At 43.2% G+C, this 26,222-nt stretch overlaps 1 long non-coding RNA gene across 1 annotated transcript in view, besides 2 other annotated features; it reads right to left on the reverse strand.

Moving 5' to 3' along the window:
- Nucleotides 1,604–2,104: an enhancer, noted in NCBI's record as "H3K4me1 hESC enhancer chr4:25527061-25527561 (GRCh37/hg19 assembly coordinates)". NCBI's record gives its function as "activates a minimal SCP1, AML or CMV promoter by ChIP-STARR-seq in naive H9 embryonic stem cells {active_cell/tissue: H9 hESC(naive)}" and the evidence as "EXISTENCE:reporter gene assay evidence [ECO:0000049][PMID:30033119]".
- Nucleotides 7,205–26,222, reverse strand: part of LOC101929161 (uncharacterized) — a 38,307-nt gene continuing 19,289 nt past the window's right edge. Inside the window, exons 3-4 of the long non-coding RNA NR_134641.1 lie at nucleotides 11,355–11,448; nucleotides 7,205–7,347 (exon numbers count right to left, since the gene is read on the reverse strand). This is a non-coding gene — a long non-coding RNA (uncharacterized LOC101929161). The remainder of the gene's footprint in view (nucleotides 7,348–11,354; nucleotides 11,449–26,222) is intronic.
- Nucleotides 11,390–11,930: an enhancer, noted in NCBI's record as "NANOG hESC enhancer chr4:25536847-25537387 (GRCh37/hg19 assembly coordinates)". NCBI's record gives its function as "activates a minimal SCP1, AML or CMV promoter by ChIP-STARR-seq in naive and primed H9 embryonic stem cells {active_cell/tissue: H9 hESC(naive and primed)}" and the evidence as "EXISTENCE:reporter gene assay evidence [ECO:0000049][PMID:30033119]".

The raw sequence follows: 26,222 nt of genomic DNA on the forward strand, positions 1-26,222 counted from the left end.
GTACTAAAAATACAAAAATTAGCCGGGTGTGGTGGCGCACCTCTTGAAACTCCAGCTACTTACTTGGGAGGCTGAGGTGGGAGGATCGCTTGAACCCAGGAGGCAGAGGTTGCAGTGAACTGAGATCGCACCACTGTACTTCAGCGTGGGTGACAGAGTGAGGCTCTGTCTCAAAACAAAACAAAACAACAAGACTATGGGGCGGACCAGGCACGGTGGCTGATACCTGTAATCCTAGCACTTTGGGAGGCCAAGGCAGGCAGACTGCTTGAGCCCAGGAGTTTGAGACCAGCCTGGGCGACATAGTGAGACCTCAAAAAAAAAAAAAACAACAAAAATGAGGTGGGAGGACGGCTTGAGCCCAGGAGGTCGAGGCTGTAGTGAGCCGTGATTGCACCACTGCACCCCAGCCTGGGTGACAGAATGAGACCCTGCCTCAAAATAATAAGAATAATAAAAAAGACTGTGGAGCATGGTAGTTTAGATTATGGCTTGGGATCCTGACTGCCTGAGTTTGAAGCTTGCTCTGCTTCTCGCACACTTTCTGCCTTTGAACAAAGTGGCTCAACCTGTCTGTGCCTCCGTCTCCTTCACCCTAAAATGAGGATTATGAGGACAGCATTCACCCCATGGAGTTCTCCTGTGCATTAAATACATTCTCTCAGGTAAAGTATTTACAAGAGCACTAGCTGTTACTATTATTTCTTTTGAGGGCATCTCACACACTTCAGCTGGCTCCTGACTTGAGCTCAGCTCACAGGACTGTATTTCCCACATTTAACAATAATGAAGACAAACTGGAGGCCTGGAGAAAAATGCAAAAAATCTTATTAGAAGGAAAGGGCACTTGAAGAGTCAGGATTCACATAAAAAGAAATAGCTCTTGTTTATTTTCTCCCTGGGGAAGATTTTGTCTTGGGCTTTCAGGAGGAACCTATGGTAATTTACAGCCCTAGTTGCTGGTAAATCCTTAAAGGACTATTGTCTTCAGTCAGCTGGTTTCCAGAAGATACAAATAAAGAAAACATCCCCAGGATGATAGAGCCCTGTGTGCCTTTTATTTGCGTTGCTTCTTTGGCTCTGTGGCAGGCAGGCCTGAGTCAGTAGGCAATATTTAATTTGATATAAGCACCCGGAAGGACCTTAACATTTACAGAGAGAATTATTCCAAATGGTCTTAGCAGGAGGAACACTGAAACAGTGATGACTGAAACTTTTTCTTTTTTTTCCCAGAGGCTCAGGAAGCAGCAGCTGTAATTCTGAAGCTCACCCTTGGCCATGGTGTTTTGTTTGTTTGTTTGTTTGTTTATTTGTTTGTTTTGAGTCTCTGGCTTTGTCACCCAGGCTGGAGGGCAGTGGCGCGATCTCGGCTCACAGCAACCTTTGCCTCCTGGGTTCAAGTGATTCTCGTGCCTCAGCCTCCGAGTAGCTGGGATTATAGGTGCCTGCCACCACACCCAGCTAATTTTTTGTATTTTCAGTAGAGTTTGGGTTTCACCATGTTGGCCAGAGAGCTGGTCTGGAATTCCTGACCTCAAATGATCTGCCCGCCTCGGCCTCCCAAAGCGCTGGGATTACAGGGGTGAGCCACCGCGCCCAGCAGGCCATGGTGTTTTCTCTCATTTTCAATGGGCCTGGGAATCTGCTCGCCAACCCTCATATGGCCATCCCTCTCTCCTCCTCAGCTCCAGCCCAAACAGCCTTCTCTGAGCTCCTTCAACACACAGTGTCCACATTACCCGGCGAACACTCAGCCTTGTGTGATAGTGGAGTCAGGAAGACCTGGGTTTCACTAAGGATGAGCTACAGAAGCTGTGCCCCAGTTTTGTCATCTAAAAAAGAGAACAGTGCCGGGCGTGATGGCTCACGCCTGTAATCCCAGCACTTTGGGAGGCCAAGGAGGGCAGATCACTTGAGTTTAGGAGTTGGAGACCAGCCTGGCCAACATGGTGAAATCCCATCTCTACCAAAAATTACAAAAATTAGCCGAGTGTGATGACAGGCGCCTGTAATCCCAGCTACTCAGTGAGCTGCACGCCAGCCTGGGCAACAGAGCGACACTTCGTCTCAAATAAATACATAAATAAGAGAACAGTAAGATCAGATGGTTTTGCCCTATCAACTTGCCCCTCCTCTTTAAGGGAGGATGACTTTGGAAAGGGACCCGGGAGGCCTATGGTCAGAAGACTGCCCTATGGCCAGAAGACTGCCCTGGAGGTGTGGGGTATGCCAGGAGCCCTTCCTGCCTGCGGGCAGCCTGCTGAGTGCAATGTGTTTTGGAGACCAATGCAGGTAGTGAAATAAGCACTGGTGGGAAAAGGGAAAGATCCGGGCATCTACTGTGTCATTTTGGGCTACTGGCATACTCAACTATAAAATAGGTGAGTTGGACAAGGTCGATTTTTTTTTTTTTTTGCAATAAAACTGTAAACTCGAAATAAAATCCTAAGCCCTCACCAACTGAACGGACCCCCTCTTAGCCAAGAGGACCCTAGAAAAAAATTGTTTTTTCTTTTTCCTTTTCTTTTTTTCTTTTTTTTTTTTTTTTTGAGATGGAGTCTCACTCTGTCACCCAGGCTGGAGTGCAGTGGAGCCCTCTTGGCTCACTGCAACCTCCACCTCCCGGGTTCAAGCGATTCTCCTGCCTCAGCCTCCCAGGTAGCTGGGACTACAGGTGCGTGCCACCATGCCTGGCTAATTTTTTGTATTTTTAGTAGAAACAGGGTTTCACCATGTTAGCCAGGAGGGTCTCGATCTCCTGACCTCATGATCCACCTGCCCCAGCCTCCCAAAGTGCAGGGATTACAGGTGTAAGCCACCGTGCCCGGCTAGAAAAATCTTAAAAACCCAGCCAGGTGCAGTGGCTCATGCCTATAATTCCAGCACTTTGGGAGGCCAAGGTGGTCAGGAGTTCTAGGCCAGCCTGGCCAACACAATGAAACCCTGTCTCTACTAAAAATACAAGTTAGCTGGGCATGATGGCACACACCCTATAGTCCCAGCTACTCGGGAGGCTGAGGCGGGAGGATCGCCTGAACCCGGTAGGTGGAGGTTGCAGTGAGCTGCGATCACACCACTTGCACTCCAGCCTGGGCGAAAGAGCAACACTCTGTCTCAAAAAAAAAAAAAAAAAAAAAAAAAGAATTAAAAAATCTTAAAAAAATCTTAAAAACTTAATTCCCAGTCATGACAGGAAGGCAGGTCAAAGAAGCCTTTGTTACATCCCCTCCCTTTTGGAGTGTAGGCACTTAATCAACATTATGTTAAAATAGAGATCATTATGATTAACAAAACAGACTATGATGACAAAATACTAAATTATAAACAGGACCTAAGGCCATGCCAGACAAGAGTGAAGTCATACACTCTTACCATGCCTACAGGTCATTCTGACACAGTGTATTAGGCAAGAGACTTCTTTATCTTAACTTAAAACATTCCTTTCTACAGACTCCATATTTTTAGACAAAGTTTCAACCAATCGCACATTAAAGAATTTCTAGGCTAGGTGTGGTGGTTCATGTCTGTAATCCCAGCACTTTGGGAGGCCAAGGCAGGAGGATCATTTAATCTCAGGAGTTTGAGACCAGCCTGGGCAACAACGACACCTTGCCTCTATTAAAAAAACAAACAAACAAACAAACAAAACTCCTATAACCTGTAAGTCCCAAGATATTTTGACTTTTTGGGCCAAACCAGTGTATAACCCCCATGTGTTTTTTTTTTTTTTCTTTTCTCTTTCATTTTTTGAGATAGGGTCTTGCTCTGTTGCCCAGGCTGGAGTGCAGTGATGTGATCATGGCTTACTGCAGTCTCTACCTTCTGGGCTCAAGCAATCCTCCTGCCTCAGCCTCTTGAGCACCTGGAACTATAGATGCATGTCACCACACCTGACTATTTTTGAATTTTTTGTAGAGGCAGGTCTTACTACGTTGCCCAGGCTGGTCTCAAACTCCTGGGCTCGAGTCATCCTGCTGCCTCGGCCTCCCAAAGTGTTGGGATCACAGGCGTGAGCCACTGTACCCGACCTAATTTCTATGTATTGATTTTTTATGACTTTTTCTATAACTTAAACTTCCCTAAAATGTGTAAAACAGAATTGTGTCCTAACCGCCTCAGGACCCCTCATTCGAGGCTTCTTGGGTTTGTGTTTTCCCAGGCTTTGGTCACTCCTATTGGCTCAGAGCAAACCTCTTTAAAATATTTTACAGAAGGCCGGGCGCGGTGGCTCCTGCCTGTAATCCCAGCACTTTGGGAGGCCGAGGCGGGCGGATCACGAGGTCAGGAGATGGAGACCATCCTGGCTAACACAGTGAAACCCCCTCTCTACTAAAAATACAAAAAATTAGCTGGGTGTGGTGGCGGGCACCTGTAGTCCCAGCTACTCGGAGGCTGAGGCAGGAGAATGGCCTGAACCCGGGAGGCAGAGCTTGCGGTGAGCCGAGATCGCGCCACTGCACTGCAGCCTGGGCGACAGAGCGAGACTCCGTCTAAAAAACAAACAAACAAACAAACAAATATATATATATATTTTGGTTTTTCCATTAACAGAGCTCTTTCTTCAAACAAAATCTCTCACACAAGCCCAGAATGGAAAATCTTGCACTCAAGCTCAGATAGTAGCAGAGTTTCGTTTCTAGACTTGGGGGAGGGGAATCTGGAACCGCCCTTCCCACTCCCCATGCTTTCCAGGAATCTAGGAAATCCACAGAGCACAGCTGAAAAACAACTGAAATCCGGCCGGGCGCGATGGCTCGCGCCTGTAATCTCAGCACTTACGGAGGCCGAGGTGGGAGGTTCACCTGAAGTCAGGAGTTGGAGACCAACCTGGCCAACATGGCGAAACCCTGTCTCTACTAAAAATACAAAAATTAGCCATGTGTGGTGGTGCATGCCTGTAACTCCAGCTACTCGGGAGGCTGAGGCTGGAGAATCGCTTGAACCCCAGAGGCGGAGGTTGCAGTGAGCCGAGATTGTTCCACTGCACTCCAGCCTGGGTGACAGAGCAAGACTCCGTCTCAATAAATAAATGGATAAACAAAATATATTTATTGAATGTATTTATTGAGATTATTATCTCAATAAATAAATAAATAAATAAGTCTGATGGCTGCTTAGTTTCCTTCCAGGTGGAAAAGTTGTGTCTCTTATCTCAAGGGCTTTAGCAAAGACCCCCATCTTTGTGCTTATCTATCTTCCACTAGTACCAGAAATTTTACCACTAGCAGATTATCTTTCTGTGTTGCCTTTCCTTCATCCTGCTGTAAGCACGGTCACTAGGAAAGGCAATCTTAAGCACTAACACTTCAGGGTGAATTCGTACATTTCATAGCCCTGTTTTGGGCCCCACGATATTCATCCACAGCACCCACTCTGCGCCAGTGCCCTGCTGGACCTGTGGATACTATGGTTAATGAAGGTCTCATGTCCCCCATCAAATGACAGTTGAGAAAGGGATCGCCAAGCAGAAACTCTCAGTGATGTGTCTGTGTCCCCAGGCTTACAGGTATGATTAGAAAGAGGTCAGCTCAGGGACTCCGGAATGGGGAGGATTTCTTGATAATGGATGGCTTCCGGGAAGAAGAGACTCTTGAGTCTTAATGTGTCAAATGTGTCAGTAGGAATTAGCCAGATGAAGAAGGAGAGGGAGAAAGTAGTTCCAGGCCGAGGGACCATCTTATGTAAAGACTGAGAGATCAAGGGCCCTAAAAATCCAGAGTCCTTGAATTGGGTCCAGGGGCAACATTTCTGAATTGAAAGCATAACCTCTTTTTCTAGGGGTGGGAGAAGGATGAGGATGGAGATGATAAAGGAGACTTTGTTATTATTTTTCTTGGTGAGTTTATCACATTTTTAAAAAAGCAATGCATGCGTGTATATATACGTTTGTCTCTTCCAAACCCTTTAATAATCCCATGAGCCTTCCCATTTGACAGACAAGGAACACTTAGGACCTGTGAGTAAGCTGGTCAGGGTCTCAGGCAGATATATGTAACTCCAGAACCTGTTTGCACTGTAGCATTCTGATTTATTTCTGCTGTCTCATGAGGAAACAGGGAAAATAAGAGCAAGGAGAAAAGAAAGAGAGGAGAGAAGAAGGGAGGGGAAGGGAGGGGAGGAAAGGGAAGGAGAGGGGAGGAGAGGAGAGAGGAGACAGCGTCCAAAAGAGAAGAGGTTGCATGCAGGTTTGGAGGAAGGCTAAGGGGATATGGAACTTTTACCCCGCTAGGATCCAACTGGGCTCTGCCCTGTCCTCCCTTGAGCCCTAGCCCCAGCTCCAGGAGTAGATCCCTGCAATCTTCCCTCAGCACACTGCATAGCCCTGCCACCATCTGCACCCGGAGACTGGCTCTGGTTTGCTTTCCCAGATTTTGTTGGCACTCAACAAATACCATTGCTGAGATGGAGCAGTCATGGTGGCATGGGGCTTTGGTGGAGGCCATGGTCATAGCTCCAAGGGCATGATCTTAGATACTGGAGCAGCACTTTTTGGCACCATGCTCATTGGACAGTGCACCAGCTAAATGGGTGGGTCTGGAGACCAAGTTCTCTTATCTATTTCACGAGGACCCTCCCTTTTGACAGCTCCTCTCTGCATGTCAGTCTTCTCACCCATAAAACCAAGGGCTCTGTGATCCTAAAGCAAATCCAAGGTCTGGCTTACTGATTCCATCAATCATCCCAAACTAATTAGGAGGTGATTTCAGAGTGGATTTCATGGTGCCCGGGTCCTGCTGCAGATTTATTTGTGTGCAAGGAGAATCAGATGCTCAGACAGGGTGGGCTTAGGCTAATTAATTTCCAGGGGCAATGGGGCTACATATTTAGACTTCGATATTTTCCTTGTGGGCATGGGACTCAACTGGTGAGTTCAGCGATAATGCGCTGTGATGTGTTCTGTTTGAGCTTCCACTTCCCTCATGGAACAGAGGGCCTCCCTTGGCACAGTCAACCAAACTGCACCCAAAACTGCCATTCGGGTCTCTTCCTTTGGGTCTTTTACAGTCACTTATGTCTACTGCCCCTTTGTTTAACTTCAGATCAGACAAGTCCTGCAATACACCTGCCATGTAGGTAAGGGTAGGAATGCAGGTGACTGAGCCCAAGTGTTTGAACCTTCATCTATCTTTCACAGATATAAGTCAGAAGACCCAGAAGTGGGGGCCACACCATGTTATCCACTGCAAATTAATTAACAACTTAATAGCTTATTTGATTATTTATTGTGGGAAGGGTGTAGTGATTAACATAGGCATGGGAGGCAGGTTTCCTGGGTTGAAATCTTGATTTTGCCATCTCCCTTGCTGTGTGATCTGGAGTCAGGCCCTTAACCTCAGTTGTCTTAATCTGAAAAATGGAATCATAAAATCCTCTCACATTTTAAGGAGATTGAGTTAACTCATACAAAGCACTCAGAACAGTTCTCAATAAAACGCATTAGCATTAGCCATCATTATTATCTGCACTGAGGGGGACTATTGGCCAGTTATAAAGTTTAAGCCAATGCAGGTCCTGTCCTCCAAGCTCATGGTCTAGTCACAGGAAATAGTTACAAAGGACTCTTTCTCCTTCCAGGGTCCCTTGTAAATCAGCTGCCCCATGAAGATGGAACATGAAATTTTGTGGGGATGCCAGACCTCCCACCTTCCTACAGAGGGAGCTCTTTTCAGGGTAACTGTTTTGAAAATTTTTTAAAATTTATTTTAGCCTGCTACAGTGGCTCATGCCTGTAATCTCAGCACTTTGGGAGGCCAAGGCAGGAGGATCACTTGAGCTGAGGAGTTGGGGGACCAGCCTGGACAATATAGCAAGACCCCATGTTTTAAAAAGATTATTTTAAAAATTGAGGTATCACCCAGAGAAAGTGCATACAGATGTTTATACCCATGGAATCACCACCATGATCAAAATGTAGAATAATATTACCATCACTCTGTAAGGTTCCTGCTGCCTCATCCTGGGAAGGATCCCCCAGCACCACCCCAGGTAATCTCCTTTCTGCCTACTAACCTCCATATGTGAGTTTCATACAAACGTAATCATAGCAGTGGTGTACTGATACATGTCTGACAACCAGCTCTCAAAACAAAAAGAAGCAGCAGAAGAAGAAGAACAGGAAGAAAGAAAATAAGAAGAAGAAAAGGAGGAAGAAGAAAAAGGAGAAGAAGAAGAAGGAAGAAGAGGAGGAGGAGGAGGAGGAGGAGGAAGAGGAAGAGGAGGAGCCCTGATCCGTACCTTTGTCAATTTTTCTTTTTTTTTTTTTTTGAGACGGAGTCTTGCTCTGTCGCCCAGGCTGGAGTGCAGTGGCACGATCTCGGCTCACTGCAAACTCCGCCTCCCGGGTTCACGCCATTCTCCTGCCTCAGCCTCCTGAGTAGCTGGGCCCACAGGCGCCCGCCACCATGCCCAGCTAATTTTTTGTATTTTTAGTAGAGACCGGGTTTCACCGTGTTAGCCAGGATGGCCTCGATCTCCTGACCTCATGATCCCCCCACCTTGGCGTCCCAAAGTGCTGGGATTACAGGCGTGAGCCACAGCGCCCGGCCCTCCTTTGTCAATTTTTCTAGCAATTGCCACTGCTGATTTGAAGCAATCAAGGTGTGATTATTGAACATGGTATTGGAAATATATGTACAGTACAACACAATTATATATATTTTTCCACCAAATAGAATAGATGCAAATAATCTCAATTGCATAGACAAGAGTAAAAATGTGGTAAAATTATTAGGAAGTGAAGAGGTTTGAGTTTACTACCTTTATATGCAATTTATTTAGTTGTAAGTTTATAATTTAATTTTAAATAAAGCATGTATTTAATGATTGGATTGCAAAATTCCTAAAAATGTATGTAATAATTTGTTCTCATGAGCTAGTATGAGCTGTCTTTATCACACTCCTGAATCATGCACACTGTGTATTATTCTCTTGTGTGGGCTTATTTCACTCAACACTCTGTGTGATTCATTCCTGTCATTCTTTTTTTGAGTCAGAATCTTGCTCGGTTGCCCAGGCTGGAGTGCAGTAGCATAATCGAGGCTCGCTACAGCCTCAACTTCCTGGGCTCAGGTGAACCTCACACCTCAGCCTCCCAACTAGCAGGGACCGCAGTTGCCTGCCATCATGTTGGGCTAATTTTTATATTTTTTGTAGAGATGGGGTTTCACCATGTTGCCCAGGCTGGTCTCGAACTCCTGGCCTTAATCAATCCTCTGGCCTCAGCCTCCCAAGGTGCTGAAATTACAGGCATGAGCCACTGCCCGGCCCATTCTTGTCATTCTGTGTAACAGTCATTTGTTCTTTTGTTGTTCTTGTTGTTGTTGTGTGGTGTTCTATTGTATGGACAGACCACAATATTCATTCTCCTCTTGATGGCCATTGGGCTGCTTCCTGGTTTTGGCTACTAATTACTTTCAATTTTAAAGCTGCTTATAATCATTCATGTACACATATTTTTGTAGATATATGTGTTTATATCTCTTGAATTTATACCTAGAAGTGGATTTGCCAGGTGTTGGACAGGCATTTGTTTTCAGTAGATAATGCCAAATGGTTTTACCAATCACCCACTGGACCCTTGCCATCTGCAGTGCTTGACTGTTCCCTGGTTCCACTTCCTTGCTCCTACTTGCGACTGTCAGGCTCTAAAATTTTAGCCATTCTGGTGAATGTGTAGTGATCATCTCAGAACAATTTTAATTTGCATTTCCCTGAAAAGTTGAGTTGTCATTAGGTTTGGACTCAAGTGATCCGCCCTTCTTGGCCTCTCAAAGTGCTTGGATTATAGGCATGAGCCACCACGTCCAGCCCATATTTTCAATCATAAAAACCCTGAATACTAATTAAAGAAAATTTTGGAAACACAAGAAAGTACAGAAAAGAAGAAAAAAATTCTCCACGATCTCATCTCCCAATGTCAATTATTATTAATAATGTCCACACACATTTTTTCCCACTTTACATTATAATAAACCATTCGTAACTCTTTAACATCATGTTTTTTAATGGTTGCATTCCATTTTGTGGATATATCAAAATGTGTTTAACAACGAAATAGTGTAATCTGCTTTCCACTTAATATTTTCCATGGTTTGTGGACATTTAAGATTCATAAATCTTGCACAGATTTTTGTGCCGCAGGAAGGAGATGCCAGAGCTTGCCTACTTATCACTTGTTGAGCACTGAATCTCTGACCATTGACAGGACTGTCTGGCTCACAGTTGTTTATGGGCAAAGAAGTGATTCTGAAAGTAAACAGGGAAAGAAACAAAAGTCCCTGATTAGGCCAGGAGCGGTGGCTCACGCCTATAATCCCAGCACTTTGGGTGGCCGAGGCAAGTGGATCACTTGAGGCCAGGGGTTCAAGACCAGCCTGGCCAACATGGCGAAACCCCATCTCTACTAAAAATACAAAAAATTAGCCGGGCATGGTGGCACACACCTGTAGTCCCAGCTACTCGGGAGGCTGAAGCAGGGAGGCAGAGGTTGCAGAGAGCCACCATTGCACCACTGCACTCCAGCCTGGGCAACAAAACAAGATCCCGTCTCAAAAAAAAAAAAAAAAAAAAAGAATTAGCTGGGAATGGTGGCCTGAGCCTGTAATCCCAGCTACTCCAGAGGCTGTGGCAGGAGAATCGCTTAAACCCAGGAGGTGGAGATTGCAGTGAATAGAGGTACCACACCACTGCACTCCAGCCTGGCGACAGTGTGAGATTCCGTCTCAAAAAAGAAAACAAAAAAAAAAGTCCCTAATAAGACTTAAAATCTCTAAAACATAAGTTTAATTCCTTATTTTTATCATTCACTCAATTATCACTCATTCATTTTATACTATTTACAGCTAGACATATCTGGGCTTTTGACTCAGCTCTGTCACTTACCAGCTGAGGGACTTTATGCCAGTGACTTGTTTCTCTTGGCCTGTTTTACCATCTGTAAAATGGGTAATAATGCCTGTCCGGGTTGTTAAGAGATTAAACTTAAGTGCATGAAGCACCTTTCCCATCTGACCTTTGAATCTCCTCTCTTCTGTTGGTTGAGCAACATGGCAGGCTTGACTGAATTATCCACACAGTGGCCTGTAATTTGGCTTTGTTGATGAGTGGATGAAGACACAGAGAATGCAACTGGTGGAAAACAGAGTGGCTTACGAGCTCAGAACTGGAGCCAGAAGAAGAACACGGGCCTTTGTTCCTTCCAGTGGTCTAACATGTCTCGTTAGGTCTTCTGCCCAGTGGAGTTCAGAAAGCCATGCAAGCACATCTCACTCTTCACCATGTTTTTGTGTGGGAGTGGTCAAACATCATTTCAATTTCAGAGCTGCACTTAGAAAAATGACCATTAAGACTCTTACCTTTTTCCCCTGTAACTTCAGCAATGCTTCTTAAAGAGTTTTCATTTTTGTCTAGTCGCTACTTTCTCATTCCTCCCAGTGCTTTCCTCTGGGTCTAAGAATGAAGGAAGAAGCCCTTTTGAGGTCTCCAGCACTAACCATGTCACCTCAGTGAATTCCATGGGCCATTAGGCAGCCAGTCAGCAGCATGTATGTCCTTGCTATCAGCAGGACATGGAATATGGGGGAGGAGAAGTCATTTCTCTCCTGCTGATTCAACATTCATTAACGTGTTAGCAACAGAGGGGGCATTGTTAACTGCAGCTCCCATCTGAACTACAGACTTCCTAGAAAGATTAATGCTATCTTCAATATGAAACAACAACAACAACAAAATGGTTACAACCAGTCCTTTCAGAAAAGCAGGCAAAGATGTGCTGTTTTACTCCTCCCAGACCCCTTGCTTCTCCTATTTCGACCACATTTGAAAAAGGATTTCTCTGTTTCAACCATGAATAATACTCTATTGTCCAGCACATTGCAGCGACTTAATTTCCTTTGTGCATGGACCTTTTTGACAACCAGTAGGCACTGGAGAAACTAATACCATCCAGGGTCCATCATCTTCTTCCTCTTTTTTTCCTTTTTCGAGATGAAGTTTTGCTCTTTCACCCAGGCTGGAGTGAAGTGGTGCAATCTCAGCTCACTGCAAACTCTGTCACCCCCACCCGCCCCGGTTCAGCGATTCTCCTGCCTCAGCCTCCTGGGATTACAGGTGCCCACCACCGTGCCTAGCTAATTTTCATATTTTTAGTAGAGACAGGGTTTCTCCATGTTGGTCAGGCTGGTCTCCAACTCCTGACCTCAGGTGATCCGCCCACCTCGGCCTCCTATAGTGCTGGGATTACAAGCATGAGCCACTGTGCCAGGACTCCATCATCTTCTTTACAGTGAAGTCCAAATGGTCTCAACTTCCTCACTTCTTTACTTACCTCTTAATCCCCTGCCATTTAGGGTTGGCCCTTGACACTGCCCTGAGCCTGTTCCTGCCAAGATCACAATGTCAATAAACGCTGTGGTCACTCTTCTGCCCTCCTCTTCCCTGACCTCCCTATGGTGTTACCCAACCTTCAGCCACTTTCTGCCTCTTGAAAAGTTCCATTCCTCAGCTTCCTGGTCTGCAAATATTCCTCTTTCCTCTTGCATTTTTGGCACTTCCTTATCACTCTTCCTGGGCTCTTCTTTTCTCTGCCAACTCTTCAGCTCAGATGTTGCCGAACATTTTCTTTTTTTCTTTTTGCAGTGGAACCTTTTTTTTTTTTTAAACAAATGAGATTTTATGTATATTCGAACCCAATATAAAACACAGAAAACCACAGTTGCTATGGTTGAAATCATGGGTGGCACTTTCCCTCCTCTTATCTCCTCTCCCAGAATCCCCAAGAGCTCCTCTCCAGAATCCTGGGCCTCTGAGAAGCCACAGCCTATGTGATGAGGTTCTATGTGGGTCTTTACGCCTCACTCCACTCATGCATCCTGGATGGCCCCAACCCTCCTGGCGTAACAATGACTATCCTTTTCTCCAAATGTGCTGTGTGTGGAGGGGCAATAAACAAATGCTCTTTTCTTTCTTCAATGCTTCTTTCAAGCATTTGAAAAATGAGAGGAGGCAGATGGAGAGCGAAAAATGTCAGCTTTATTGCTGACAAAGCTGCGTAGAGAATGTCTTTACATAATTAGCCTAATGGGTTTGCTATCTTTCCTAGAGTTAACTCTCCCATCAGTCCTGGGCAGAACTGGAATTCCCAGGCATTTATACAGAAGAGATGAGGTTCTCCCAAACTCACCAATCAAAAGTCACTCCTTCTCCCATGGGGAAGAGTGGGCACAGAGACCAGGAACACTAACCTCAGCCAACAACGATGGCTCCACTCCCTGGGGGTGTCTTGTGGTTTGTGAGGCACTGAGGCATTTAGTGTACGGGGAACTGTGATACCAGGCATCCTCAAACACACAGAACAACTCAACACATGAAAGAATTGTCCAGGTGCAGTGGCTCACACCTGTAATCCCAGCACTTTGGGAGGTCGAGGCAGGTGGATCACCTGAGGTCAGGAGTTCAAGAGCAGCCTGGCCAACATAGTGAAACCCCATCTCTACAAAAGTATGAAAATTAGCCAGGCAGGATGGCGGGTGTCTGTAATCCCAGCTACTCAGGAGGCTGAGGCAGGAGAATCACTTGAACCGGGGAGGCAGAGGTTTGAGTTGAGATCGCACCATTGCACTGCAGCCTGGACTACAGAGTGAGACTCTGTCTAAAAAAAAAAAAAAAAAAAAATTCTCCTGAATCTTGCATGACCTTTGAACATCTGATCGGACATTCCATACATAGGTGAATGAGGATATAATTATCTGTATCTAGGCTGGATGCCATGGCTTATGCCTGTAATCCCAGCACCTTGGGAGGATGAGGCAGGGGGATCACCTGAGGTCAGCAGTTCAAGACCAGCCGGGCCAACATGGTGAAACTCCGTCTTTACTAAAAATAAAAATTAGCTGGGTGTGGTGGTGCACGTCTGTAATCCCAGCTACTCAGGAGGCTGAGGCAGGAGAATCACTTGAGCCTGGGAGGCGGAGGTTGCAATGAGCTGAAATCGTGCCACTGCACTCCAGCCTGGGCGACAGATTGAGACTCCGTCCAAAAAATAAATAAATAAGTAAATATATATATGTATATATAAAATCTGTTTCTAGAACATTAATCTATTTTTACATACTGAAAGTACTTTTTGCACAGTTTTTTTTCTTTTCTTTTCTCTTTTTTCTTTTTGAGACAGAATGTTACTCTGTCTCCCGGGCTGGAGTGCAGTGGCGCAATCTTAGCTCACACTGCAACCTCTGCCTCTCGAGTTCAAGTGATTCTGGCACCTCAGCCTCCTGAGTAGCTGGGATCACAGGTGCGAGTCACCAGGCCTGGCTAATTTTTGTATTTTTAGTAGAGATGGGGTTTGGCCATGTTGGCCAGGCTGGTCTCAAACTCCTGACTTCACGCGATCCACCTGCCTCGGCCTCCCAGAATGCTGGGATTACAGGCATGAGCGACCGTGCCCTGCCTTTTACAGTTTTTATACGCACTATATACTGAATTTTCTAGAAAAGCAAATACTACACAAATTGAACGCTGATTATACTTTCATAGATTGAGAACTTACCTGAGGGTTGTTCAATAATTTAGAAAATTATGAAATTTTCTGATGACAACGGCTCCTGTAGTATTTTCACCATTAATGCAATAACACATTCCTGTATTGGTTGGTATCCGTGGCTGTTGCACTTACAGTGAGAACATCTGACTGCTCCTTTGTGGCTTCCGGTAAACTTCCACCCAAATATTGCTCAGATGCATGCAGATCCCTGCAGGCGCCATGGTTCTCTTTCCCCCTGGCCTTTGCACTTCCTGTGCTTCCTGCACTTATCTGAGGAGTGTCCCTGAGTATGAAGGAAGAGTACCTCCTCTAGGTTTCCAGAGTGTTGCTCACTCTGCATCTGAGTCTCTGTCTGTCTGCTGCCTCTGCCACCAGACCTTAAGTTCTGCCAGGGTAAGGACCCATGCACACTGCTGGCTTCTGCATCCCTAGTGCCTGACCCAGGTTCAGGCACACGATAAGCAACCCTTCCCTCGATATATATCTTCGCATCAAGATAAATAGCATCTATTTGAAAAGCTATAAATCTCTGGTCCATCAGGAACTAATGGTGGAATCTTCCCATCAAAGTCAATCGCAGGCAAACTAAAGGTGAAATAAAGGTCTCAGCAAAAAGGAAATTTTTCCTCCCAAGATGATCTTAGGAGGCCTTGTCTTTCATTCTTTAGTGTTTCTGCCAGAAAATCAATTGTTAAATTATTCATTGAGTCAGATCAGGTCATTTTGAAAGTAATCTTCAGAGTGAGTGAATCTTTATCAAAGTTGACACTATTCCTGATATCTGAACAGATTAGTTTTATAATTTAATACTTAATCTGTCCACAAAACACAATGAGAAAAAAATGCTGCAGTAACCTGGGTATTGAAGGACTCGCCTTCTTGATTGTTTTTATTCTCTTTTTACCTTATCAGGTGAATAAAACTTGAAAGTAATAAAAAGAGACTCATAAAACAATGCTCATTTTGATTTACACTTCTAACCCCTTAATTATCAGCAGCTTAACTGTCTCTCCTGATTTCCATCTGACTTCAGGCTGAGCGACAGGGTGCACTCATTGACTCAGAGACACTGGCAGGGGTCATAGAGGTTATCCGTATCTATAAGTCAGACCAGGTGAGTTCAAAGTCACCAAGGTGAAGCTGCATGCATGGGTTCTGCTCTTGACTCCTTAGTTTGTGGCCTTGGAGAGGCACCCCCTCTCAGAACTTCCTTTTCTTTCTTTCTTTTTTTTAAATTTAACAGAAGCAGGGTCTCCCTATGTTGCCCTGGTCTCAAACTCCTGAGCTGGAGGAATTCTCCGGCCCCAGCCTCCTGAATTGTTGGGATTACAAGTGTGAGCCACTGCTCCCAACCTGAACTTCATTTACTTCAGTGGTAAAATAGGGATGAGAGTGTCTACTTTGCAGGGTTGTTGGGAGAATTGAATGAATGATGGATAAATGGCCCGTGAAACCAAGAAAATGCTCAATGAAGGTTAGCTTCTGCTCCAAAGGGATGCACAATCACTGTGCTTTCCTCTCTTCTACTCCTTATGCATTATCTTTGGCCTTAAACCACACGGGAACATCTCATTTCTTCTTTTAATTCAATCCCTCTGTTACAATTTGGGTCTTCCTCAGAAAGTCTGTAAGGTGGTGACTGCATATTTATTCTGGTAGAATTAGGGAGATTTGAGTGTTTAATAAAAACCATGGATGGCCGGGCATGGTCGCTCATACCTGTAACCCCAGCACTTTGGGAGGCCAAGGTGGGAGGGTCGCTTGCATCCATGAGTTTGAGACCAACCTGGGCAACATAGCGCAGACCCCTGTTTCTACAAAAAAATAAAAAATTAACCAGGTGTGGTGGTGTGCCCCTGTAGTCTCAACTACTCGAGAGGCTGAGGTGGGAGGATTGCTTGTGCCGGGAAGGATGAGGCTGCAGTGAGCTGTGATGGCACCACTGCACTCCAGCCTAGGTGACAGAGGAGACCCTGTCTCAAGAAAAAAAAAAAAAAAGAATACTTTAAAAATTAAAAAAGAAAACATAGGTATGGCTCAAAGAGTGAGATTTTCTTCGCTAACACTTCCAGTGACTGGAATTTTGGAAAAAATTCAGCTTCACCTTTTACAAAGACCCCAGTTCTATTTACAAAGAGAACCTGACTCCACCATTCATCAAGCTGCAAAGCACTTAGCATTTTTGGTTGGCTAGGATTCACTTATATATTACCTTGTACCACAGGCCAGGATGACAGCTCTTCCATGTGGATTATCAGCAACATAAGGCCAGGGGCTGTGTCTGTCTACATCACTGTATCTCTTAGGACTGTGCCTGATACCTAGTAGGTGCTCAGAAATATAACTGCCAAATGAATGAATAAATATATCTCACCCATTCATGGAATCATAGTATTGAAACTGACTTGCTACTTAGGAGGATATGATCAATAGTTTTATATCCCCCAAAGCTTTCCGTAGCCCCAGGAATTTTCCATGTGCTAACCTGATGATGGCTGATAAAACTTCTATGTTTTGGGAGTTGTCTACATATAGAACAAAGTTCACTTTGCTTTGCTGTACTTCACAGCTCGGCCTTGATTAGACAGTTAGAGGAGATTCAGGAGATTTTGTGCCAGGGAGAAAGCCAATTAAAGCCCAAATGGAAAGAAATTAATGGCCTGCAGTAATTCTGTGGTCTGAGGGCAAAGTCTCAAATCTCTCCCTACCTAAAGCCAGTGCTGGGTTTTCCAACCTTCTCAATGCTTTTGTAATGCATGTTTGTTGTTGTTGTTGTTAATGTTGAAATTCCTAGTGAAATAATGGCCAGACAACTGTTTATAGCCCTTACTTTAGTAAATGAGAAAATCTGAAAAATGTCCTCCTTTGTGTTAATTTTACCAGATTTATACCTTGGCAAGTCACTGGGTGGAATTGGAACAGTTTGGGAATCAAATATATAGTAACTGGAACAACCCTATCATTATTACCAGTTTTAAATTACTGTGGCTGTTATCAGCTGAAATGCTGTAGGAAAATCTCAATTAATTGGACATGAGCCTTCTAGGAACTGCAAGTAATTTGATAAAACATAAAACGACAGAATAATATCATTTAACCAAGTTCCCGTAGGGGTCTATATCTATGCTGCATGCTCAGGACTCATTTGGTCTACACTTTGCATATTGCTATCACTAATACCTACCTACAGTATTAAAAATGAGAAGTGGCCAGGTGCTGTGGCTCATGGCGAGACCCTGTATCTATTAAAAAAAAAAAAAAAGAAGAAGAAAAAGAAAGGATGAAAGAAAGAAAGAAAGAGAAAGAAAGAAAAGTGGCTAGAGCCACTTTGAAACTAAAATTTTAATTTAATTCAAATGTTAATGTAAATTTAATTTATTAAACATTCCAGCTCTATAATATTTTGAGTCATGAATGCATTTTTATTATGACATAAACATCCAGAAAAGTACAGAGTATGATAAAGTACCAACAGAAATGAACACATTGTTAATTTTTTGATGTCTTTGTTTCAGACATTTTTAAAGAAGTAATGCGTTAAAGATAAAATTGAATGGCTAGGCACTGTGGATCACGCCTGTAATCCCAGCACCTTGGGAGGCTAAGGCAGGGGGATCAACTGGGGTCAGAAGTTCAAGACCAGCCTGGCGCAACATGGTGAAACCCCATCTCTACTAAAAATACAAAAATTAGCTGGGCATGGTGGTAGGTGCCTGTAATCCCAGCTACTCAGGAGGGTGAGGCAGGAGAATTGTTTGAACCTGGGAGGCAGAGGTTGCAGTGAGCCAAGATCGCACTATTGCACTCCAGCCTGGGTGAAAGAGCGAGACTCCGTCTCAAAAAAGAAAAAAAAAGATACAACTGAACCTCTCTTTCCCCATTCCAGAAGCTTCTGTATCCTTCTCATCCATGTCTTTATAGTTTATTTATGAACAACATATAACATTCTTTGAATATTTAAACAAATTGCATTATACTATATATAATTATTAATATATTATTATCTATAGTATATGGCATTATACTATATATAATATAGTAATATATTAGAATATATTACGAATATAATAGTACTAATATAATTATATTATAATATAAAATTTTTTTTTTTTTTAGATGGAGTCTCGCCCTGTCCCCCAGGTTGGAGTGCAGTGGCGCTCTCTCAGCTGACCGCAACCTCCCTCTCCTGGGTTCAAGGGATTGTCCTGCTGCAGCCTCCCAAGTAGCTGGGATTACAGGAGCACACCACCATGCCCGGCTAATTTTTTTGTATTTTCAGTAGAGATGGGGTTTCGCAATGGTGGCCAGGCTGGTCTCAAACTGCTGACCTCAGGTGATCTGCCTGCCTCAGCCTCCCAAACTGCTGGGATTACAGACCTCAGTCACCATGCCCAGCCTATAATATATAATTATGCTATTATTAGTATAATAACAAAATATATTATTATACTAATATAACATATTAGTAATATAATTACCAATAGAATAATATATTACATATAGTATAATGCCACATACTATAGATATTAATATATTATTAATATACTATACTAATATACTATTAATATAAATATATCCTATATTATATATAATATAATGCCATTTGTTTACGTATTCAAAAAAGCTATATATTGCTCATAATAAACTATAAAAACATGAATATATAATATATTATAATATGTAAAATATAATATATAATGTAGCTTATAATTTTTATTATAAAATATAAATATAGAATATATACTATATTATAATATTATGCTATATTATATGTAATACAAGTACATAACATAATAATATATATTATATTCTTAATTATATAATATATAGCATATGTTATATATATAAAATACTACATATATATACAAAACTCTGCAACTTGGCTTTTTTTCAGTTGTTATAATTTCGGGCCCTATATATATATATTTATCAAACCTCCCAGGTTTGATATATAAGAACAAATGTCAGGCTGACACAGTGGCTCGCACCTGTAATCTCAGCACTTTGGGAGGCTGAGGCAGGAGGATTGCTTGAGCCCAGGAGTTCAATACTAGCCTGGGCAACATAATGAAGCCCTGTCTCTACAGTAAATAAAACATTAGCTGGGTGTGGTGGTGCACACCCGTGGTTCCAGCTACTCAGGAGACTGAGGCAGGAGCATCCCTTGAGCCCAGGAGGTCCAGGAGGCAGTGAGCCATGATCCCATAATTATTCCCATCCTGGGTCACAGAGTGACACCTTGTCTCAAACAAACAAACAAAACCCCCAAATTTCATATATAAATAAATTTTATTCACTTTTAACCCCTCTAGACAGTTTCAAATTATAAATATGCCATGATGCATTTATCTAGTGCCCTAAGGCTGATAAATTTGGACTGTTTCTAATTTTTTCCCATTAAAAACAATGCTGTAATGCACATCTTGGCATATTTTTTGGGGGGAATATGCGTGAGAATTTCTCTATAGTCATTCATATTTCTTATGATTCCTGGTATGTTTGGGCTTGTTTTTACTTATTTAGCTTTTTTTTTATAGTTTTTTTTTTTTTTTTGAAACAGGGTCTCACTCTGTTGCCCAGGCTGGAGTGCAGTGGTGTGATCTTGGCTCACTGCAACCTCCCCTTCGGGTTCAAGCAATTCTCCTGCCTCAGCCTCCTGAGTAGCTGGGATTACAGGCATGTGCCACCATGACCGGCTAATTTTTGTATTTTCAGTAGAGTCAGGGTTTCACCATGTTGGCCAGGCTGGTCTCAAACTCCTAGCCTCATGTCATCTGCCTGCCTGGGCCTCCCAAAGTGTTGGGATTACAGGCGTGAGCCACTGCCTATAATGTGTACCATGCTTTTTCTTTGCTTCTTCATCCACTCTTTCCTCTTCCCTTGTTTAGAAGTTAAACATTTGATTTATTTTCATTGGTGGTTAATTATTAGCATGCATGATTGCAGGTTTAGAGCTAATGAAAATCTCTATTATTTCCTCAAACAATACAAGGAACTTTGCATGCTTTTACTCCTAAAACCTCCTCCCATCTTCCGTAATATTGTTGGGCAATATTTTAGTTTCACTTACAAAATAAAAATAAATACTCCCAGTTGCTCTTCATTGTTGTTAGTTATCATAATTTTACAGTGAATATTGTTTAGATTTATCAACTTTTTAATCCATTCCTGACTCATCATTGGCTTTTTGCGTTATACACCTTCCTTATAGGTTTGGTTTCTTACTTGCTGAGATATCATCTTTGTTATTTCTCTTAATAAGGAATTGTTTGCAGTAAAATTCCCTAACCTTTTGTGTCTGAAATATCTCTTTCTGCTCACTCCTGCATAATGATTTGGCATGTATGCCTGATACTACCTCCCTCCTCTTGTCTCTATCGGCCCTGTAGGACTCCTAGTAAATATATGCTGAATCTGTTCCTTCTGTATGAACTGTTTCCTGACTGCTTTCATACTTTTCACCTCTTTATGAGCTGCATTTTGTGTGATTTCCTCAAATCTACCTTTTAGTTTATGAGTTACTTCTTTAGTGTATTGTATAATGTGTTCGTTGAAGTTTTATTTTTAATGACTCTCATTTTATTTCTAGCTCAGTTGAATTTTTTAAAAATTTCACAGTCCCCCCCAATCCTAGTTTTGTGTTTTATTCTTTTATTTTCTTTTGTTTCTTTCTTTCATGCATTTTATTCCTGTGTATTATTGCCTGCTTGAATATATGATTTTAAGGTCTCTTTGAGATGGCTTTATATGTAAGTTCTTGGTTCTAAATTCTGTTGCATTTGCTGTGCATACTAATTTTCTCTTACAGCAGTTATTTACTTCATGAACTTAGTAATTTTTTTTTTACCATGAGTTTATCTTTGCGGGCAGTGATTTTCTGTGAAATGCGTGTGCTTGTTCCAGACCTTATAGATCCAGACCAGTTTTTTTGTTTTGTTTTGTTGGGTTTTTGTTTTGTTTTGTTTTGTTTTTTGTTTTTGAGACAGAGTCTCACTCTTTTGCCCCAGCTGGAATGCAGTGGTGCTGTCACGGCTCACTGCAGCCTGGACCTCTGGGCTCAAGCGATCTTCCTGCCTCTGCCTCCCAAAGTGCTGGGGTTACAAGTGGGAGCCACCCGCCTGACCAGCTTTATGTTTGTTTCTCGGAATGGGTTCTTTTGACTGATTGGTAGCATGGATTAAGACCACAGGTTTGTGTATGATGCAGGTGGATGTTCTGCGTTCTTTCAAGTGATTCTCTTTTTTTTTTTCTTGAGACAGGGTTTCACTGTGTCACCCAGGCTGGAGTGCAGTGGTGTGATCATAGCTCACTGCAGTCTCAACCTCCCAGACTTAAGTGATCCTCCTGCCTCAGCCTCCTGAGTAGCTGGGACAACCAGCATGAACTACCACGCTAGGTTCACTTTTTAAATTTTTAGTGGAGATGTGGTCTTACTATATTGCCCAGGCTGGTCTTGAACAACTGGACTTAAGCAATCCTGCCTCGGCCTCCCGAAGTGTTGGGATTACAGGCATGGGCCACCATGCCCAGCTTGATTCTCGTACTTTCTATGGCCCTGGAAGATGGTCAACTTTCTTGCTGTGTTTCTGGCTAATAAAAGGACTTCTGTTGGCTGTTTCTTGGTGCTCAGATTTATGCTGGGGTGAGGGGGTGGTCAGTTCCAACTCCCCACCTCTCATAGGCTGAGAGGTTCTGAGCATTTGTTAATCATCAGTCTCTGCAGTATTTATCTAGCTCTAATACCCTCATGGACTATTTCTTTTTAGCTCCTGCTCCCTGCCCTGAAGTCTGGGGGATATTCTTTTCTTATTTTCAGAATTGGCCAGGTATTTAAAAACTGGGACAAAGGGTTTAAATTTTATCTAGCATTTCTATGTGATGAAAATGGAAGAGTCTCCCCATCTGCAAAATTAATTAGAAGTTCAGTAATCAGTGATTCCATTTTTTTGTATAGGACATTACTTGCCCCTTTTGAGCCTTGAGATCCTTAACTGTGTTTAGGAGTAATGTTAATATGTACCTAATAGGATTGTTGTGAAGATTAAAGAAAGCAGATAATGGAAATGTTACTTAGAGATCAGCTGGGGTCTTGCTACTCCCTTAATTTTAGATAAAATGTTCTTCAACCCCAGCCTTCATGCAGTGAGTGGGGAGGTGGTAGGGCTTACCTTCTGCTCATCTTGGGTTTGAGTTTCTGCATGTGGTGAATTAATTCTGTTTAAGTATTGCCTCTATGTCTTAAACATGCTGGGCTGGGCATGGTGGCTCACGCCTGTAATCCCAGCACTTAGGGAGGCTGAGGCCAGCGATCACCTGATGTCAGGAATTGGAGACCAGCCTGGCCAACATGGTGAAACCCCGTTTCTACTAAAAACACCAAAAAAATTAGCTGGGTATGGTGGTGCCCGCCTGTAATCCCAGCAACGTTGGAGCCTGAGGCAGGAGAATCACTTGAACCCAGGAGGCGGAGGTTGCAGTGGGCCGAGATCACACCATTGCACTCCAGCCTGGGAGACTAGAGCGAAACTCTGTCTCAAAAACAAATAAGAAAAAATAAAAACAAAACACACATAACAACATGCTGGTCCTCTCCCATAATGTGTTTCCCCATGTGGGAATTTTTTTCTTTTTTTTTTTTTTTTGAGACGGAGTCTCACTCTGTCACCCAAGCTGGAGTTCAGTGGCGCAATCTCGGTTCAGTAGCTGAGATTATAGGCATGAACCACCACACCCGACTAATTTTTGTATTTTCAGTAGAGACAGGGTTTCGCCATATTGGCCAGGCTAATCTCGAACTCCTGACCTCAGGTGATCCACCTGCCTCGGCCTCTCAAAGTGCTATGATTACAGGCATGAGCCACTGCACCCAGCCCATGTGGAAAAATTTTACAAAAAAAAAAAAAAAAAAAAAAAATCACCGAAACATAAGCCACCCTCATAGGGCTCTGTGCATTGTGTTACAGATAGAATGCAAGACGTTGTACTGAAAATTGAAGGATCCCTTGATCATTTCAGCACCTTGAGATCCATCCATCACCATATTGACTGAAACCCCCCACCCTACCTCCCATGTTTCCTCTCCTCTCTCCTCCTCATTCCTTCTCTCTCTGTTTACCCTAGAACTCCACATTCTTCTCATTTCATGAGGCAGAGTGGTTCGGCTTTCTCTAGCTTTGAGCACCAAATTTCCTTCTGCACTCACTTTTCGTAATTGAGCCAAGGTGCTCAGTGAACTTTCCAGATAAGAGACTCCCTGTCCTTAGAAGGAAGTTGTCATTTTAAATAGCAAGTTTTTCATTCCTTTGTACGTAAAGCACAATAACTAGCACATAATAAACACTCAACAAATATTAGCTATTACGATATCACAATTTCCACTTTTAAAGACTGTGATTCTTTTTTTCTTTTTTTCTTTCTTTTTTTTTTTTTTTTTTTTTTGAGACAGAGTCTTGCTCTGTCACCCAGGCTGGAGTGCAGTGGCATGACTTTCGCTCACTGTAACCTCTGCCTGCCGGGTTCAAGCCATCCTCCTACCTCAGCCTCTCAAGTAGCTGGGACCACAGGCATGTGTCACCATGCCCAGCTAATTTTTGTATTTTTTGTAGAGATGGGGTTTTACCATGTTGCCCAGGCTGGTCTCGAACTCCTGGGCTCAAGCGATCCGCCCACCTTGGCCTCTCAAAGTGCTGGAATTATAGGCATGAGCCACCATGCCTGGCCAAGTCTTTGATTCTAAATTAGATTTAATGACTGATTAAGCAGAACTGATTTCAAAAGGGAAGTATGGAGGCAAAACAGTGACTATCCCAAAGTTGAATTAAAATTATTATTATTATTTTTTGAGACGGAGTCTCACTCTGTTACCCAGGCTGGTGTACAGTGGCGCGATCTCAGCTCACTGCAACCTCTGCCTCCCAGGTTCAAGCGATTCTCCTGCCTCAGCCTCTTGAGTAGCTGGGATTACAAACATGTGTCACCACGGCTGGCTAATTTTTTGTATTATTAATATAGACTACCATGCCCGGCTAGAATTTAAATTATTTTGTATTTACTTACATTCTTATTCCTTTACTAATGCATATGAATAAAGAAAATACAGATGGCTGCGTGCAAACAGTGTACGATAATATTAAATTAAAAAAAAGAAAGTAGGCTGGGCATGGTGGCTCACGCCTGTAATCCCAGCACTTTGGGAGGCCGAGGCGGGCAGATTGCCTGAGGTCGGGAGTTTGAGACCAGCCTGGCCAGCATGGTGAAACCTCGTCTCTACTAAAAATACAAAAATTAGTCGAGCGTGGTGGCGCATGCCTGTAATCCCAGCTACTTGGGAAGCTGAGGCAGGAGAATCACTTGAATTCTGGAGGAGGAGGTTGCAGTGAGCCGAGATCATGCCATTGCACTCCAGCCTGGGCAACAGAGCAAGGCTCTGTCTCAAAAAAAAAAAAAAAGAAAGTAGTCTGGGTACTGTGGCTCACGCCTATAATCCCAGCACTTTGGGAGGCCAAGGTGGGCAGATCACCTGAGGTCTGGAGTTTGAGACCAGCCTGGCCAACATGGTGAAACCCCTTCTGTATTATGTATTATATATTTTGTATTTTGTAAAAATACAAAAATTAACCTGGCGTGGCAGTGGGTGCCTGTAATCCCAGCTACTCGGGAGGCTGAGGTAGGAGAATCGCTTGAACTGGGGAGGCGGAGTTTGCAGTGAGCCAAGATTGCACCACTGCACTCCAGTCTGAGCAACAAGAGTGAAACTCCGTCTCTAAATAAATAAATAAATAAATAAATAAATGTAAAAAGCACAAATTGATCTTATAAAGAGATTGTCAATCTCATTTATAATCAGGGAAAATAAAAATAAAACCACAGGGAGACACCATTTTACTCTCACCAGCAGGGCAAAATTAAAGAATCTGATAGGCCAGGTACAGTGGCTCACACCTGTAATCTCAGCACTTTGGGAGGCTGAGGTGGGCAGATCACTTGAGGTCAGGAGTTCAAGACCAGCCTGGCCAACATGGTGAAACCCCATCTCTACTAAAAATACAAAAATTAACCAGGCATGGTGGTGCATACCTGTAATCCCAACTACTTGGGAGGCTGAAGGAGAACTGCTTGAACCTGGGAGGTGGAGGTTTCAGTGAGACAAGATTGTATCACTGCACTCCAGCCTGAGCCACAGAGCAAGACTCTATCTCAAAAAAAAAAAAAAAGTCTGATAATAACAAGTGTTGGCTAAGATGTGGAGCAATGGTGACTCCCATACACTGCTGGTGGGAGTGTTAATTAGCACAACCACTTTAGGTAACAGTTTGATATTATTTGGCAAAATAGAAGAAATGCCTGTCCTTCTAGAGAAATTCTTACTCATGTGCACCTGAAACTTGACAAAGTGGTCACACCAGCATGGATCAAAATAGCCCCAAAGAAGAATCAACCCAAATGTCCAAAATAGTAGAATGGATAAATAAATTGTATATTATTCCTGCAATGGTTCCCATACAGCTAGAGTAATAACAAAATTTTACAGCTGCACATGAAAACATGGATAAATCCTGCAATCAGAATATAAATAACAGAAGCAAGTCACAAAGGGACATCTAAATCATGAATTCTCTATAGAAAATGCAAAAACAGATACAGTAGAATGAACGTATATTCACAGCCAGTCAGTTCTGTGTTC

This window comes from Homo sapiens, chromosome 4, assembly GCF_000001405.40.
Source record: "Homo sapiens chromosome 4, GRCh38.p14 Primary Assembly".
Taxonomy (NCBI): Eukaryota; Metazoa; Chordata; class Mammalia; order Primates; family Hominidae; genus Homo; species Homo sapiens.